Genomic DNA, 17,798 nt, shown 5'->3' on the forward strand with positions numbered 1-17,798 from the left:
TTTTGGTTATTTCCAGTTTGGGGCTATGATAAATATTATGCTATTATGAACATTTTGTGCAGTCTCTTGCTGTACCTATGCATGCATTTCTGTGGGTTTATAACTAGGGAGTGGAAATGCCAGGTCAGAGGCTATGCATGAATTCAACTACTATAGGAATGACAATTTGTTTTCCAAAGTTGTAACAATTTACACTCCCACACACAGTAGATAGGGATGCCTAATGTTCCACATCCTCATGAACATTTAGTATTATCTCTCTTTAATTTTAGTCATTCCAGAGGGTGATTAGTAGTATAATATTGTACATTTCAGTTGCATTTCATTGATTGCCAGTGAGGTTGAGCTGATAAACTCCTGGAAAAACTAATGAAGGCAAAAAAAGAGAAAAAGCACAAATAACTAATATCAGGAATGAAAAAGAGCCCTCACTACAGATACCTAAGAAATCAAACAGACTGTGTCTGTCAATACCAAGAGATTTACGGAAATTTTCTCTCTGCTTTTCAGGAATATTTGATTTAGTTCTTTTAGCCTCTTCCTTCATGATAGATTCAGAATTTGGCAAATTTTTGGATGGAAAAACTAAGTGTGTCTAATGTTTACACTCCAGGATCACAGGATTTCCAAAAGCTCTTACAGTTTCTCTTCTCCTCCCTGCTCCCACCCTTTGCCCACCCTCAGTGGCCTTGCCAAGGGAAAGCACTGATTCGCAGCCTCTAGCTTAGGCACAGAATCAACCAGTGCCCCAAAGAGAAAAGACAGTGGCTTATCTTTAGCTCACTTCTGAAAGTTTCTCCTCTTTCTGGAATTTCAGTGGCTTTGGACTTCCCTGCTTTCAAAGCTCTCTTAAAAATATGATTTATTCTCAGCAAGAACATTGGCCTGCCGCTAATTGCTCTGTCTACCTAGAGGTGGTCTGATTGAGTACTTCTCTTTTTTGTTATTTCAATTTTCCCCTCCATTAGTATTCTTTCTGTGATTATGTACAGATTATAGCAGGCATCCTTGACTTATGAAAATTTAAAGTTAAATGGCACTTATACCCTATTTGTGGACATTGCAAAAATACCCATGAATATTTGACTTTATTAAATGAACAATTTTAATTTAAAACAATTTAATTTCTCTTCTCCTTTCCTGACTTCTTGGCTACTGTTTCCATGTTCTTTGCTACTCTTTCCATGTTTTATTTTCCTATGTATTTGAAATGCCAATAATATCTTTATTATCATTACTATTTTATGCAATTAATATTCATTTAGATTTGTCTACATGCTTATGATTTTCACTATTCTCCTTCTTTTTTCCATTATCTCTGGCCTTCTGCCTGGGATCACTTTCTTTTGTCTTACAGAATGCCACTGAACAATTCCTTTGGTGCAGGGCTGGTGATGAATTCCGGGACATTGTTTGTCTGAAAATGCTTTTAATTTAGCTTCATTCTTGAAGGATACTTTCTCTGGGTACACAATTCTAAATAGTCAATTTATTTTTTTCTGCATTTTAAAAGATATCACAATGTCTTCTGGACCTCATTGTTTCATTGGGAAATCAGCTATAAGCATTATTGGTGCCCTTCTGAAGGCAATATATATTTTTTTGCACTTCCGGCTGCTTTTAACATGTACTTTTTTCCCTCTGATTTTCAATTCTCTTTTCAATTTCTATTTATAGGGTTTTTTTCATTTATCCTGTTTGGTGTTCTATAGGCTTCTTAAAATAGTGACTTTTTGTCTTTAATCAGTCATTAATGTCATTAATTTTTTCAAATACTGCTTTTGCACTATTTCCTGTCTATTCTACTTTTGAAAATCTATTATGATTTTCTCTGTCCTCTATGTTTTCTGTGACTCTTATGTCCTGGTTTTCCCAGAATAGCCATGGCTTATGCCTATTGACATTGTGTATCACTCTATTTAGCATATGTTTATATTCAATAAAGTATTTTTATAAATAATTACATTAAAATGAGCCAGGATGATTTAGAAGGTCTCCATATGTCAGCCGCCATGAACATTGATAATATGAGAGATTGATGTGAAATTATCAGAATTTTCACTCTACTAGGTCAAATCTGAAATAAGAATAACTACAAGCCATCTATTTTTTTGAACCTTTCCAGATATGATTCAATAAACTCCTTCCTTTTAAAGACAATATGCAAGGAGCTTTTGGTGGGGAAAAAATGTGCTCTGTACCAATGAGGTAGAGACAGCTAACTTCTTTTGGTCTCTAACAGTGATGGCAGAAGTATTTGATATTGCAATCCTAGTTGATTACTTGGTCATCAACCAAGTGGGCTTTTCCCCATGCTGTGGCCTGTGCAGGGTGTAAAGCTGCCAGGTTCCAGCCAACGGAGTCAATGGGAATGTGGAAAATTATAGATTAAACACATATGATCTATATGTAGGAAATAGAGACTGAACAGGCCTTTAGTAAAGCAAAACATCATAGTCTGAATGCTCTTGCCACTGTGGTTTTGTTGTTATTGCATGGAGTAAGTTTAGAACTCTTCATTTTATTATTTGGTGGTGCATTTTAATGTTACAATGACACTTTAATCAGAAATGAGCTAAAACAATAGGAAGTATATGTTTAATCAAAAAATTAAGTAATAAATTTCCATTTCTCAAGACAGTTGATGATCAATATGTAAGTTATACAAAATGCTTGTCAACATTTAACATCAACCATAAGGGCTGTATCACTGACCGCATGGAACCAAGAAGATCTAAGTCAGGTGAAAAGGCATCAGCATCTATTTCAAAAGTTAGGCCGGGCGCGGTGGCTCACTCCTATAATCCCAGCACTTTGGGAGGCCAAGGCAGGTGGATCGCCTGAGGTCAGGAGTTTGAGACCAGCCTGTCCAACATGGTGAAACCCTGTCTCTACTGAAAATACAAAAAAATTAGCCGGGCATGGTGGTGCAGGCCTGTAGTCCCAGTTACTTGGGAGGCTGAGGCAGGAGAATCACTTGAACCCAGGAAGCGAAGGTTGCAGTGAGCCAAGATTGCGCCACTGCACTCCAGCCTGGGTGAAACAGCGGGACTCTGTCTCAAAAAAAAAAAAAAAAAGAGTTCATAGTTATTTTAGTTCCTTTAAGGTTACTTGAAGAAAATTGTGTTTCAAAAATGACAATCTAATAAAGGCAGGAGCAAAAGGTTTGGTTACATATTACTTTATGAAGAAAGACTTTTATTTAGATCAAATAACTGGTGTTCTAAATTAATTTTACTTACAATTCCACGTTTTCTTGATCATATTTGAATAGTAAAATGATAGTGATTTGTGTTGTTCTGGCAGAAGAGAAATTTTGCAAACCGATAATAATACCAGCGTTATAATGGTGTCATCAGATTCTCCAAACAGAAAATAATTACAACAATGATGTAATTTTTCTTTTTTCATTTTTTTTTTTTTTTTTTTTTTTCTGAGACAGAGTCTCGCTCTGGCACCCAGGCTGGAGTACAGTAGTACAAACTTGGCTCACTGCAACCTCTGCCTCCCGGGTTCAAGCGATTCTCCTGCCTCAGCCTCCCGAGTAGCTGGGACTACAGACGCCCGCCACCTCGCCCAGAAAATTTTTGTATTTTTTAGTAGAGATGGGGTTTCACAATATTGGTCAGGCTAGTCTCAAACTGCGGACCTCAGGTGATCCACCCATTTCGGCCTCTCAAAGTGCTGGGATTACAGGCGTGAGCCACGGCGCCCAGCGGCAACGACGTAATTTTTCATACACTTTCAAAGTATAGCTTCTGGAAGTTCACTCTGTCGATGAAACACTTGACATTATTGCAAATGCTATTGTAAATTCAGTATAAAGCCTCAATATTAAAAATAAAGGGATTTGGCCGGGCGCGGTGGCTCAGGCCTGTAATCCCAGCACTTTGGGAGGCCGAGGCGGGTGGATCACGAGGTCAGGAGATCGAGACCATCCTGGCTAACACGTTGAAACCCCGTCTCTACTAACAATACAAAAAAATTAGCCGGGCGTGGTGGCGGGCGCCTGTAGTCCCAGCTCCTCGGGAGGCTGAGGCAGGAGAATGGCGTGAACCCAAGAGGCGGAGCTTGCAGTGAGCCGGGATCGAGCCACTGCAGTCCGGCCTGGGTGAAAGAGCGAGACTCTGTCTCGAAAAATAAAATAAAATAAAATAAATAAATACATAAATAAATGGATTTGTTTTTGAAGTGATAAGAGAGATACATGTTTTTATGAAGCACAGCATTGTTTTAGAGACAATTATGTTACCAATAAAGAAACTGGTAGAAATCATATTTGGCACTTGTTTTGGTTCACACATATTTTTTGATTATATGTATCCAAAAAGTCTATGATGCCTGTCAACGAAATAGAAGTGATAGTCATAAAAATTTTTTTAAAAAGAGTATACAGTATAGAGTAATTGAACCACAAAATTTAATGTAGAAAGCTGATATGGATAACAAAATTCCTTCATCAGGGAAGTCTGAACATTATTGGCCAATATTAATCAGATATTAGAAATACATAAACCTTTGATAAATTAATTTGTAAATTAACCTAAGTGTTTAAAAATGGTAGTGGGTGAAGTCATTTGTAAATAAGTCCTCTAAATTTGGGGTGCTTTCTTCCCCCAAATCAATTGGAAATCTTTACTCCCAGGAATCAATGCATAGAGCATCAAAAAATGTGTTAGAACTTTTTACACGTCCAGAGAATTGTATTCATTCAAAATAAGATTTGCAAATAAGCAGATAATAAATTTACCTACGAAAATGAGGGAAGCCATAAATGAATTAAAAGAACAGTGTACAAGATTTAGTTTTTAAATTCTATAATTAAGCTTTGGAATATTTTAAGTATTTTGATGAAGTTCTTATTTTCAACTCGATAAATTTTATTTTACTGGAATGAAATGAAATTGAGAAAGGCTATAATTTTTATAGCACGTAAATTTTCGCTAAACATTTAAAAATTATGACGGGATAACGTACTTGACAAATTTGGTCTTGTAAAAATTTTGTCAAAGAAAGGCACTCTGAATAGAGGTAGAAAGACAGCACCTGTGTGAATGTTGAGTTTGAAACATTTACATATTCAAGGCAAAAATGATTGCTAGTGAGGATATCCTTTCTTTAGCAGAATGTAGAGCTTACCAGGTACCTCAGCACCTGTAGGGAGAGTACTTTCTTAATTAAAAACTTCATGGTCTACAGCAAAGTGTCAATTAAAGATGTCAATAACTTCAAATTAATTAACCTTCATATGCAACTTTGAAAATCACAGACAATTTTGTGAAAGAAATTTAAAATAGTAAGAGCACACAGAAGAAAACTCAAAAAAATCTTTTAGAAAAGTAACCGTAACAAAGTATTAGATGCAGATATGGTTAATAATCATAACCAACAATACCAATTAAAGTGTGTGAATATGTGTCACGAATAATTCTTTTGCTTGTATTATCTTTAGCGTTCAAATCAGTATAAAGAAGTTATTCTTGAATTTGCTTCAATGTACATGAATATATGCTGTTTTTATATTTATTTATTTATTTATTTATTTATTTATTTATTTATTTATTTTTGAGACGGAGTCTCGCTCTGTCACCAGGCTGGAGTGCTGTGGCACGATCTCAGCTCACTGCGGCCTCTGACTCCCTGGTTTAAGCGATTCTCCTGCCTCAGCCTCCTGAGTAGCTGGGATTACAGGCACGCGCCACCATGCCCAGCTAAGTTTTGTGTTTCTTTTTAGTAGAGACAGAGTTTCACCATATTGGCCAGGATGATCTCCATCTCCTGACCTCATGATCCACCCACCTCAGCCTCCCAAAGTGCTGGGATTACAGGTGTAAGCCACCGCTCCTGGCTGCTATTTTTAATTTCTAGGAAGATTTTCTTGTAAAATAATTTTTAATATAGAACTACCCTATAGATCCAACAATATAAGAAACTAATTTTCAGTCAGTAAATCAATAATTTTAATCATTTTAATTTACTCTCAAAATTGTATTGATTTAACTGTAAATTATATAAATTATATGGTCATGTATCCATATGTCTCTTCTGCATTTTAAAATTTCTTTTTTGAGAAAGGGTCTTGTATGTTGCCCAGGCTGGTCTTGAACTTCTAGGCTCAAGCAAGCCTCCCCATGTAGTTGGGATCAAAGGGACATACCACCATGGCTTCTTCTGCATTTTCTCTCCTCAGTCTCTGGTGTCCTGAGCTCTATACCAATTCTTACCCTCTCTCCCCATGAACAAATTGCTTTACAGAACGTTTCAGGTATCAACTCATTCATACAATTTTGTATTATAGAATATACAGCTTTATGCAATTTTTTCAACTTTCTGAGTGTGTGAATTCAATATATTCCTCATTCATTCACTCATTCATCACTTTCCTACGTTCCAGATGCTGAGGGTGCTGAGAAACATGAGACAAGGCCTCTGCCCTTGAGAAACTCAATCAGTAGGCATGTTTGGGGGAGGCGAAGGCACCCTTCCATTGTTCTCAAATCTGAGGTCCTCTTTCTACAGGTCAGGTGGCCCTGCAGACTGTAAGACAAGTGAAGCCCGATGACGACAAAGTGCATTCCCTGGATCACCTGCCTACCAAAAAGAAAAGAAAAATAAAACAATTACAGGCAGACCCTCATCCACACATTTAGTTCTCCAGGATCACTGAGGTGGTGGAGTTGCAAAATCTCACAGGCCCAGGGCCCACAGGCCTGGGATGGGTGTTGCTCCATGGGTAGGTGCTTCCTCCTCTGCCAACCTCACCCCAGCCAGCTGCTACTGCTGCCTCTCCACCCACCCCTGGGTGCTGCAGCCAGCAAGGTCCTTGTCCCTCACTGCCTAAATGCTGTGCTTACCCTTTTGGATAGCAGCACAGAATTATCTCTGGATACCAAGAAGCCAAAGTCAAGGTCATTCTATCTACCTGTGCCCTGGGCTTGGGTTATTTCTTGCAAGTCTGGAGTTATAATTTCCACAGTACAGGGTCATGCGGCAGACAGACAGTACACACTCCATTCCCAGAAAATGCCCTTCCTCACTCTTACCATCGTAACCACACAGCTTCTGTGCCCCCCAACCCAGCCCATCCCACCAGACTGAAACTCCTCAGACTGCCTCTCTCTGCTACACTCAGCTTCTTCCTAGGACAAGTCTCTTTTCTTCCTTTACCAACAGCCTGGGTTGTTTCACAAACTCTCTTTGGTTCCTGTGTCTCCCCCGCCCCCACACCCTGCTCTCCTTTTTTAAAGTCTGCTGTTCTGCATTGTTTAATAAAGATGCCAGTCAATATCATAATGGGAAGCATATAAAAAAACCCCACAGTGCTAGCTACTAAAAAATGTAAATTAAATGCATAAAAGTCTGTGTTAGGAATTTTTAAAGAAAACAGAAGAAAGAAAAGGAAATAGTAGAGAATGAAGGCCAAACAGACCTAATGCTGACAATGAAGAACATTCTATACAAAAATGTAGTAGAAAGGTAGGACTGATGGAAGAGGAGAATGTGCCTGTCATTTCTCAGCTGGGGAAATGATGCTTTGCGGCACCTCGCCTGGTCTCTGCCTACCCTCGCCTGGGAGAAAAGACTGGTAGAGAACACGTTTGAGATACACATTTTCCAAAGGTAGGTGAGGCCTGGCGTGAGTTGTGTAACTCCCTGGGCATCAAAGTAACCTGGAGCCCCGGGGCAGAAGCCACTGTCCTAATGGGCTAATTCTTCCATCAGTGCAGTTCGCAGGATGCTGTGCCAAGTGCACTGAATCAGCAATGCCAAGTTCAAGCCCCAAGTCAGCTCCAAGGCTCCTCAGGGACCTTGGAATTGTGACCTGTTTTTAATCCTTTTTGCTTATTCACCTTTTGTGACTTCCGCACCATGGACATAACTTACCTGTAAAAATTTTTTGAAGTTATTTTTGAAGGAGAGACGTTCTTTGATTTTATTTATCATATACTTAAATACTACTAACCCTATGTCTGGCCATAGTCTAAGCACATTTCACACACAAACTCAAGCTTCACATTTCACACACAAAGTCAGTCTTCACTCTTAAGGAGCCATTATTTTTGCCCCCATTTTACAGAAGAGGAAAATGAAGCACAGGGAGATGAAATGATTTGCCCACGGTCACTCAGCTAGTAAGTCAGACTATGAATAGAGCTGTCTGGCTTCAGAGTCTTTGCTTCTAAACTGTAAGTCACGCTGCCTTCCATGTGAAAAGACTGATAACACTGGCTAAAAGGTTAATGGAGTAAAAAGATTTTCAAGAGATTGTAACAAATGAGTGAATTAGAGCCAAAGCAGAAAGAGCACGTGGAGCATTTTATATCACAGCACGCTGGTGAAAAGCAGTCTGGAATGGCACGGGGCATCTGCCCGCTATCAGGTGTGGTCAGGAGAAGACACAGCAGCGCACAGGCTGTTGGGCACCAAGAGAGAAAACATTTGGTGCAAATTGGCAAAAGTGATGAACAGTAGAGAACATGGCCAGGTGAAATACTGTTTCCCAAAGAAAAGGACAATAGAAGGACCCCATCAGGATATGGGCCTCGAAACAGTTGGGGATGTGTCCTGTGAAGAGCTGGGAGGGCCGGTAATGAGAAAACAGGCTGGAGAAGAGGATAGAAAAGAAGAGAATATAATGAAGATTTAATTTTGGTGTTCATGAGGAATAAATGCAACCAAGTCTGAAAATGTGTGCTTTGATCTGGAAGTTGTTTATAATCTCGTTCAACTTCTGAGTATTGTCAGGATTCGACTCTATAAGGATCATTGAGTTCACAGCAGCAAAGCCCTTCCAGCTACTGAAGTGACGAAACAGGAGAATATGACCTTCATTAACTCTTCCCAGGGAGAATGGTGCCTGGGCACTCTTAATAGCACTGGGAAGGCCCGCCTGGTAAATGAATTAGACGCCACTGAGCATTCACCAGAATAAATTTCTTTTTTTTCTTTTTTCTTTTTTTTTTTTTTTTGAGATGGAGTCTTGCTCTGTCACCCAGGCTGGAGTACAGTGGCATGATCTCAGCTCACTGCAACCTCCACCTCCTGGGTTCAAGCCATTCTCCTGCCTCAGCCTCCCAAGTAGCTGGGATTACAGGTGCCCACCACCACGCCTAGCTAATTTTTGTGTTTTTAGTAGAGACGGGGTTTCACCATGTTGGCCAGGCTGGTCTTGAACTCCTGACCTCGTGATCCACCCACCTCGGCCTCCCAAAGTGCTGGGATTACAGGCGTGAGCCACCACGCATGGCCCAGAACAAATTTCTTTTGCCATGGCTTCCACCAAACGTTTTTCATGGCCCCTGTATCCCTCCCTTTCCTCCCTAGTCTTAGGGTCACTACAGTAGATGAGTCATTAAATCTTTTCCAGTAGGAAGTTAAAGGAATAATCGATTCTTCATTTCCACTCATTAAGGCAATACTATGTTATATTATAAGGACTAAATGAGGACATTTGCAAGCCTGTTGGAATGCCTTCATCTCATGCTCCCTTTTTGGTTGTTAGCAGTTTTTCCTGGAGTTTTTGCTTCCCTTGTCCTTGCCAACTTCCATTTATTCCTTTTTATTCTTTGTCATGTTATAGCTGAGTTTGGGGACTTAGGTTATTCACATATATTTTTAAATCAATATATGGTTTTCTGCTCTAAACAATATCAAAAAATAGATTTATCTTTTGGCAAGAGAACAAAATGTGATTTAGTACTGGCGCTTGATAAACTACATACGTTTGGCCATAAAGGATAACATCTATGATGTTCTTGGCTAATAATTTGTCTCAAGTGGAATTCACAGCTTTTGATAAATTAATAATCTTGTTTGACAGATTAATTATATTGCCACCCCTGAGCTCACAGAAAAACAGGTTTATCCAAATGCTTCCAGTGTCCTTTGTGGTTCTTACAAACCAACAATTTCCTTCTTTCCTTTTTCTGGAAGAAAAAGCAAACTCTTGGGGAAGGCAATATATATCTCTGACCTTTGGATCCTAGCAGCCCTTACACTCAGGAGGAACTGAGTGGCAATGCAGGTGACAGACACAAGGCTGGGTTATAAGGATTAGCATCTCAGATTGTTGGGGAAATATCTGTGAATCTAATCCTTGGTTAGGAGACCACGGGTGCTCCCATGCCAAACCCTCAGAAGAAGAGGCAAAAAAATAAAGAGCAGAAGAAAACAGAGACAAGACCATCATAACTTTCAGACAAATGCTCTATGGCCTCCTGGGTTAGTTCAACATCGAAAGATGGTACTGGGAGGATGTCTGAACCTTCACCATATTGGATAGCAAGAAAGCAAATGCATGCCCAAGCAGACAGTCCAGAGGCCTTCCACACTCCTCTATTGTCACAGAACTGCCGTAAGTGCCACTACCATCCCCAAACCACTCACCGCCAAGTACCACCACAGTCTAGAAACCCAGAGGAATAAAACACATGAAAAGAGAGCTGCCAGCTTTGCTGGAAGACATGCTTAACCTAGCTACGGGGGTTACGATGAGTATTCAAGAAATCCAGCATAGTTGGATTTAATTAATACCTCCATTTAACTCAATTTGAAAACATCTTACTGGGCTCCAACTATATACCAGGCACTGAAGGTCTAGGGGAAGGAGATGAACTACGCAGGTGTTTGCCTCACATCCTCCACAAGTGTAGAGTCACTGCGGGGGTTTATACTCGCATGCTGTTTGTCTGCCCCCTCCCTTCCCCTTGAGGGAAGGCCACAGGATCCGGGCAGCCGCCTTCAGAGTCTTCCCTGAGGTTTCAGAAGGGCAAGGTCTCACATCCTTTTGAGTCCCAAGCAGTAATAATGTCGACCTGGAGCTGCCGGGAGACAGCTTTCAAGAGCAAGAGCATGAGAGAACAAGACAGCGAGGAAGAGAGAAAGACTAGAATCACACACACACACACACACACACAGAGAGAGAAAGACTAGGAATAGAGACACACACACATAGAGGGTGGGGAGGGTGGGGTGTGGAGAGAGAGAAAGAGAGAGGAGAAAGAAAGACTATTTGGGCCTCTGGATTAAGCTTTTCCAAGCCAGATACACATTCTGGATTTGCCAGTAACTTGAGCTGGTGTAACCTAAGTTTGTAAAAAAAACCACATACATAGTCCTGACTGCTGTAGTCACTGAGTTTCAAGAGACAGACAAGACCATTATGAACTCATGAGTGGAGCTCATGAGAAATACTCTGGGCTTTCCAGGGAAGAAAGGAGGAGCGTGAAGATTTCATTTGTAGGGAAAAGCAAAGGAAAATGTAAAGAACAGCAAGCTAAGAAAGGAAAGATCGGTACCAGGAGCTCTGGATGTATGCTGGCTGCGACGCATTTTTTTTTTTTTTTTTTTTTTTACGGTGTCTTACTCTGTTGCCCAGGCTGGAGTGCAGTGGCATGATCTCAGCTCACTGCAACCTCTGCCTCCTGGGTTCAAGCAATTCTCCTGCCTCAGCCTTTTGAATAGCTGGGATTACAGGCATCCACCACCATGCCCACCTAATTTTTGTATTTTTAGTAGAGATGGGATTTCATCATGTTGTCCAGGCTGGTCTCGAACTCCCGACCTCGTGATCCACCCACCTCAGACTCCCAAAGTGCTGGGATTATAGGCATGAACTACCATGCCTGGCTGACTGCGGTGCTTTTTTTTCTTTTTTTCTTTTTTAGGAGAAAAGGCATATAAAGTTATTAACATGCACAGGGGTAGGGTCTGAATCACAAAGTGATGACTTTACTTATGCACTGGGGTACAGATGCTTATATACCCTTCTTCTTAGAGGAAAGGGAGATGGGGAAGTGTGGATGATTTTAGGCGGCTAGTAAATGACTTTTAGGGGAATTCAATGGGCTTTAAAATCATACAGTGGCCTGGGACACAGTCTGCTGGGCCCACAGAGCAGATGATAGTTTGTGACAAGTCTGTGCTGGTATGCTGACAGACTGCAGCCTTTCTTCCTGCAATGTGAGTCCAGCTTATGAAAACTCAGAGGAGGAACCAGAGCTTATGAAAACTCAGAGGAGGGACAGGTCTGGACTTCAGGCACAAAGAGACTTTCAGGGAACATCTTCATCTTATGCTTTGAGAGAGACAGAGGATTGAGAAGCAGGAGGTGGTGCATGCCAGAGAGACCTTGTGGCTGCTTCTTCATGTCAGCCATACGTGGGGGTAATAGTTTCTGAGCCCCATTTCAATCTTACTATTCTGCTTCAATGAATTACCTTACATGTGAATCACTGCACACATATTCAACTCTATTTGTAAAGTAAATGTTTTGTTTAGAAATAAAAATTGAATGAGTTAGCAAAACTATGATCCTTTAGACCCAGTGAAATATTTGGAGCTGTTTTCCTGTTTAATTTTGATTTTTCATCAATCTGGAGCTAGATTCATCTATGTTTAAAACCAGTTTTTGAGTGATGTATGTGTTAGTATTTATTTATCATTTAACTTCCAGGATACTAGAGTAGAAATAAAGATACAGCAAGAGGAACATGCCTGTAGTCCTTCCCTGAGAGGCAGGAGTACAGTGAAAAGACTTGGCCTTGGCACACAACATGCCCCAACTGTTGGGGTCACCCACGTGGTGTTGAGGCTCGATAACTCCAAATTTGGGATATCTTTACTATCCTTCTAATAGTCTACTCTTCTTCTATTAGCCTCTCATCCTATTATTCTATTATTGTGTTTTGTCCAGACCCCAGAGACTAAAGATATCCTTCTTTTAAAATTTTTTGATACATTGTATTTGTACATATTTATGGGGTGCATGTGTAATGTGAAATTACATGCATAGAATGTGTAATGGTCCAGTCAGAGCATTTAGGGTATCTATCGCCTGAGTATTTATCATTTCTCTGTGTTGGGTTATATTTCAAACCTTCTCTTCCAGCAATTTTGAAAACTGCAATATGTTGTTGTTAACTCTAGTCACCCCACTCTGCTATCAAACATTAGAACATTCCTCCCAACTGTATATTCATATCTATTAATCAAACCTGTCTTCATCCTCTCCCTCTCACCCCTATAACCTTCCCAGCCTCTGGTATCTATCATGCCACTTTCTACCTCTATGTGATCAACATTTTTAGCTCCTAAATATGGGTGAGAATGCACAATATTTTTCTTTCTTTGTCTTGCTTATTTCACTTCACATAATGATGAAGATGCTTTGGCACCTTATGCCAAGATCCCCAAATCCCACCCTGAGATGTCAGTGTGTTGATGCCAACCCCCAAGTGAGGCTTTCCAGCCCATCCTTTTACCTCAGAATATATCTGACATTACAGAAATTCAGATGTAAGTTCTGACTCAGACCCCCAAGATCTGGTGACATTGAAAAACCAGATGAGGACTTTGTATACACGTGTATACACGTGGCCATGCCTGACTATCCGTTTAGTCAAAAACGCACACTGGTGGTTTAATTGAATTGACCTTTTGGTTATATGACAAAGTTAATTGGGGTTACAGACAATCCAATTATACATATTGACACAGCCTATAATGAACTCTATTTTCTGTGGTGGTAAGGAGAATTTCAAATAAGTTACCTAATTCTTCTTGGCTCCATTTTTGTTTTCTAGATCTGGAAAGGCAAACAAAAAATATCCGGCACAATCAGAAGAGTATACAAGGATGTTCCAAGTAGCATTTTGTATAATGGCAAAATATTGTTAATAACCTAAATCTGTATCAAAAAGATTGAATGAAATATAGTACATTCAGAAGCAGCATTAAAAAAGATACACTTTATACACTGTCCACCATTCATATTTATGGGTTCCAAATTTGTGGATTCAATTAACATAGCTCAAAAATATTTTTAAAAAACAATACAAAAATAAAATATTACAAGTATGAAAACAATACAATATAACGACTATTTACATACCATTTAGATTGTATTAGGTATTATAAGTCATCTAGATATGATTTAAAGTAAATGGGAGGGTATGTGTAGGTTATATGCAAATACTATACCATTTTATATAAGGGACTTAATCCGTGGATTTTGGTATGTATGGGGAGTCCTGGAACCAATTCCCCACAGGTACCAAGAGATGATTGTATTGGCATGGAAAGCTGTCCATGATATATCTGTGAAATGGGAAGAGAACTAGGTTTTATGACAACAAGTACATCAGAATTTCATTTTCTATGTATATGTGTAAATATACATTACAAACTCATAGAAGGATGCACCCAGTGGTTAATGAGGCTATCTATGGTTACATGTGAGGATGGAGAGAAGAGACTAATTACAGGAGCATTTTTACCTTGTATTTATATGTATTTCTGTATTGCTTTATTTTTGTTCTATAGCCAGCATGTGTTATTTTTATAATTAAGAAATCCAATAAATATATTTCCATTTTAGAAAAAAACATAACTTTATTTGTTTTTTGTGAAAATAATATACATAAAGCCCTTATCAAAGGTCTGGACCATAGAAAGTGTTCATTCATGGTACTATATTACTGTTTCTACTATAAAACACTTGACAACTCTTTCCTCCATGTTTCATTTCCTAAGCTTCATCATGTCTTTATATAAATGTTACCTTTTTAGTAAAGCGTTCCCTGAGCTTCCCATCTCAATTGTCACCCTGTTCCACTACAAATACACACATGCACTCACTCTCTACCCTATTTGCCTTTTGCCTTTACACCACTTCTGTCTTATATGCTCTATTATTTACTTGTTTGCCTGGTGTATGCTCTTTCCTCCCACTGTAACATCAGCTGTAAGAAGGCAGCGGACGTTAGTCAACTTTGCTGTAGTCAACTTTGTTTACAGATGTATTCCCAGCACCAAAGATAGTTTGGCATACAGGAAGCCGTCAACAAATATTTGTGAAACGAACAAATGAATAACGATGCCAATCTTAAAATGTTATTGCAACTTTGGGATAGGCTTATGTATGCAGATTTCATGGACCACAGAAGCAGCAGAACTTAGTGATTCTTAAACGTATGTCTCTGGCACGGAACTGCCCACATGGGTTCACGAGTCTGCTTATTATAAGTTGAATTATCCTGCGGAAGTTACTTAGTCTCTCTAAGTCTTGGATTCGTTATCTATAAAGTGAAGATAAAAAGTAAAACAATGATTTCTGTTCCTCACTAAAATGGATTAACAGAGACCAGGTTTACCCTTCCAAAAGTGGAATATATATACCAATCGCCATCAGGCACCAAAGGGCAGTCATCCCTGAGAGACAGGAAACAATTGAGGGAAACCCTACAATTGCCCCAGCTTACAGCCTGGAGAGGTTGATAGGGTGTGGCACGTGAAGGTAGAACCCAAGCAGAGCCTGGTGGATTTCCTGAATCGAGGAGCAGAAGTTGAGAGTAGGAGCCCACAGTGGCCAGAGTTACAGGACAGAGTACCAAAGAGGAGAGAGAGCCACACGGAGGGAGAGCTCTGGAGTCCTGCAGAGGCTGCCCCACAAGTATTCAGCAGAGCACTGATCATGCAAGGGAAAAACACCTGAGAAGACTAGGGAGCGCAGTGCCCATGCTCACATGGGGTAGGGAACAGTGTTTATTCCCACACATCAAACTGGAAACCTCATGATTCACAGGGCATCAGATAGAGAATGCAGTCTTGCCCTTTTTGTGGAGAAAATAGGCCTACACTGAGCACCACTCCAGTCCTGCCTAACAAATATTAAAAGCAAGACCTGAAAGGATCCTACTGTTTCCAAGTAACTTACCTGTATTCCAGAACTCATCTTAGAAATATTTCTAGAAATCCAAATTTATCCAGCACCCAATAAGGTAAAATTTACGATGTCTATCATCCAGTAAAAGATAATCAGATATGCACAGAAGCAAGAAAATATGATTCACAACAAAGAGAAAAATCAATCAAAACTGATCCAGAACTGACGGATTTTAGAAATAGCAGGCAAGGACATTAAAACTGTTATTATAATTCTAACCCACATGTTCAAAGTTAAGTAGAGATATAAAAGATATTTAAAATAATCAAATCAAATTTTATTGTATTTTTCAACAAACTACATCTCAGAGTTTATAAAACAAGCAAAATGACACCAAGTTGCCTCTTAATCGAACTGCAAGAAACTAGTAATAAAAGGAAAGTTCTAAAAGTAGTCAGAGGAAAGACAGATGGTATGTACAGAAGAACAAAGAGAAGGATGACAGCAGTTTTCTCATCAGAAAAAGCACAAACAAAAAGACAATGGAACAACGTGTTAAAAGAAAAAATTTCAAACTAGAATTCTAGGCCAAGCAAAAGTATCTTTCAAAAATGAAGGCAAAATAAGGACTTTTTCAGAAATACAAAAGGTGAAAGATTTCATCACCAGCAGACGTGCACTACAAAAAATATTAAAGGAGTCATTCAGGCAGAAAGAAGTAATGCCAGATGGAAATAAGGATCTACACAAAGGAAGAATAGTGGAAGTGGTAATTGTAGGAATAATTATGTAAGAACTTGTAAAAATTTTATTTAGAATTTTTTTTTTTTTTTTTTTTTTTTGAGACGGAGTCTCGCTCTGTCGCCCAGGCCGGAGTGCAGTGGCACGATCTTGGCTCACTGCAAGCTCTGCTTCCTGGGTTCACGCCATTCTCCTGCCTCAGCCTCCCGAGTAGCTGAGAGTACAGGCGCCCGCCACCTCGCCTGGCTAATTTATTGTATTTTTAGTAGAGACGTGGTTTCACCATGTTAGCCAGAATGGTCTCCATCTCCTGACCTCATGATCCGCCCGTCTTGGCCCCGCAAAGTGCTGGGATTACAGGCGTGAGCCACTGTGCACGGCCAGAAATTTTTAAAAGATAATTGATTGTTTGAACAAAACTAACCACAATGTAGCATAGAGTTAAAAACATTTGACAAAGTAAAACGCATGACAACAATGGCATAGAGATTGGGAGGGGAAAAATAGAAGTACACTCATTCTTATACTACAGGTAAAGTGAATAAGGTCACTTCAAGTTAGGCTGTAATAAGTTACAGATGTATACCTTGAACTCTAAATCTACCACTAAAGTGACCAAAGAGTAATTTTTTGTTTTGTTTTTTTTTTTTGTTTTTTTTTTTTTTTTATCTTTGAAGGCCATTTAATTATCTTTTTCTTTTAACTGTCTTTTCATGTGTGTTTCCCCGTTTTCTATCAGGGGAAATTCTATCCTCTATTTTTTTTTTTTTTTTATTGATCATTCTTGAGTGTTTCTCGCAGAGGGGGATTTGGCAGGGTCATAGGACAATAGTGGAGGGAAGGTCAGCAGATAAACAAGTGAACAAAGGTCTCTGGTTTTCCTAGGCAGAGGACCCTGCGGCCTTCTGCAGTGTTTGTGTCCCTGGGTACTTGAGATTAGGGAGTGGTGATGACTCTTAAGGAGCATGCTGCCTTCAAGCATCCGTTTAACAAAGCACATCTTGCACCGCCCTTAATCCATTTAACCCTGAGTGGACACAGCACATGCTTCAGAGAGCACAGGGTTGGGGGTAAGGTTATAGATCAACAGGATCCCAAGGCAGAAGAATTTTTCTTAGTACAGAACAAAATGAAGTCTCCCATGTCTACCTCTTGCCACACAGACACAGCAACAATCTGATTTCTCTATCCTTTCCCCACCTTTCCCCCTTCTCTATTCCACAAAACCGCCATCGTCATCATGGCCCGTTCTCAATGAGCTGTTGGGTACACCTCCCAGACGGGGTGGTGGCCGGGCAGAGGGGCTCCTCACTTCCCAGAAGGGGCGGCTGCCGGGCGGAGGGGCTCCTCACTTCTCAGACGGGGCGGCTGCCGGGCGGAGGGGCTCCTCACT

The 17,798-nt window shown here is 39.9% G+C and overlaps 1 annotated feature.

The window, feature by feature from the left end:
- Positions 17,289 to 17,489: a silencer, noted in NCBI's record as "peak757 fragment used in MPRA reporter construct". NCBI's record gives its function as "represses an SCP1 promoter by STARR-seq MPRAs in K562 erythroleukemia cells {active_cell/tissue: K562}" and the evidence as "EXISTENCE:reporter gene assay evidence [ECO:0000049][PMID:32103011]".

Source organism: Homo sapiens, chromosome 1 (assembly GCF_000001405.40).
Source record: "Homo sapiens chromosome 1, GRCh38.p14 Primary Assembly".
NCBI lineage: Eukaryota > Metazoa > Chordata > Mammalia > Primates > Hominidae > Homo > Homo sapiens.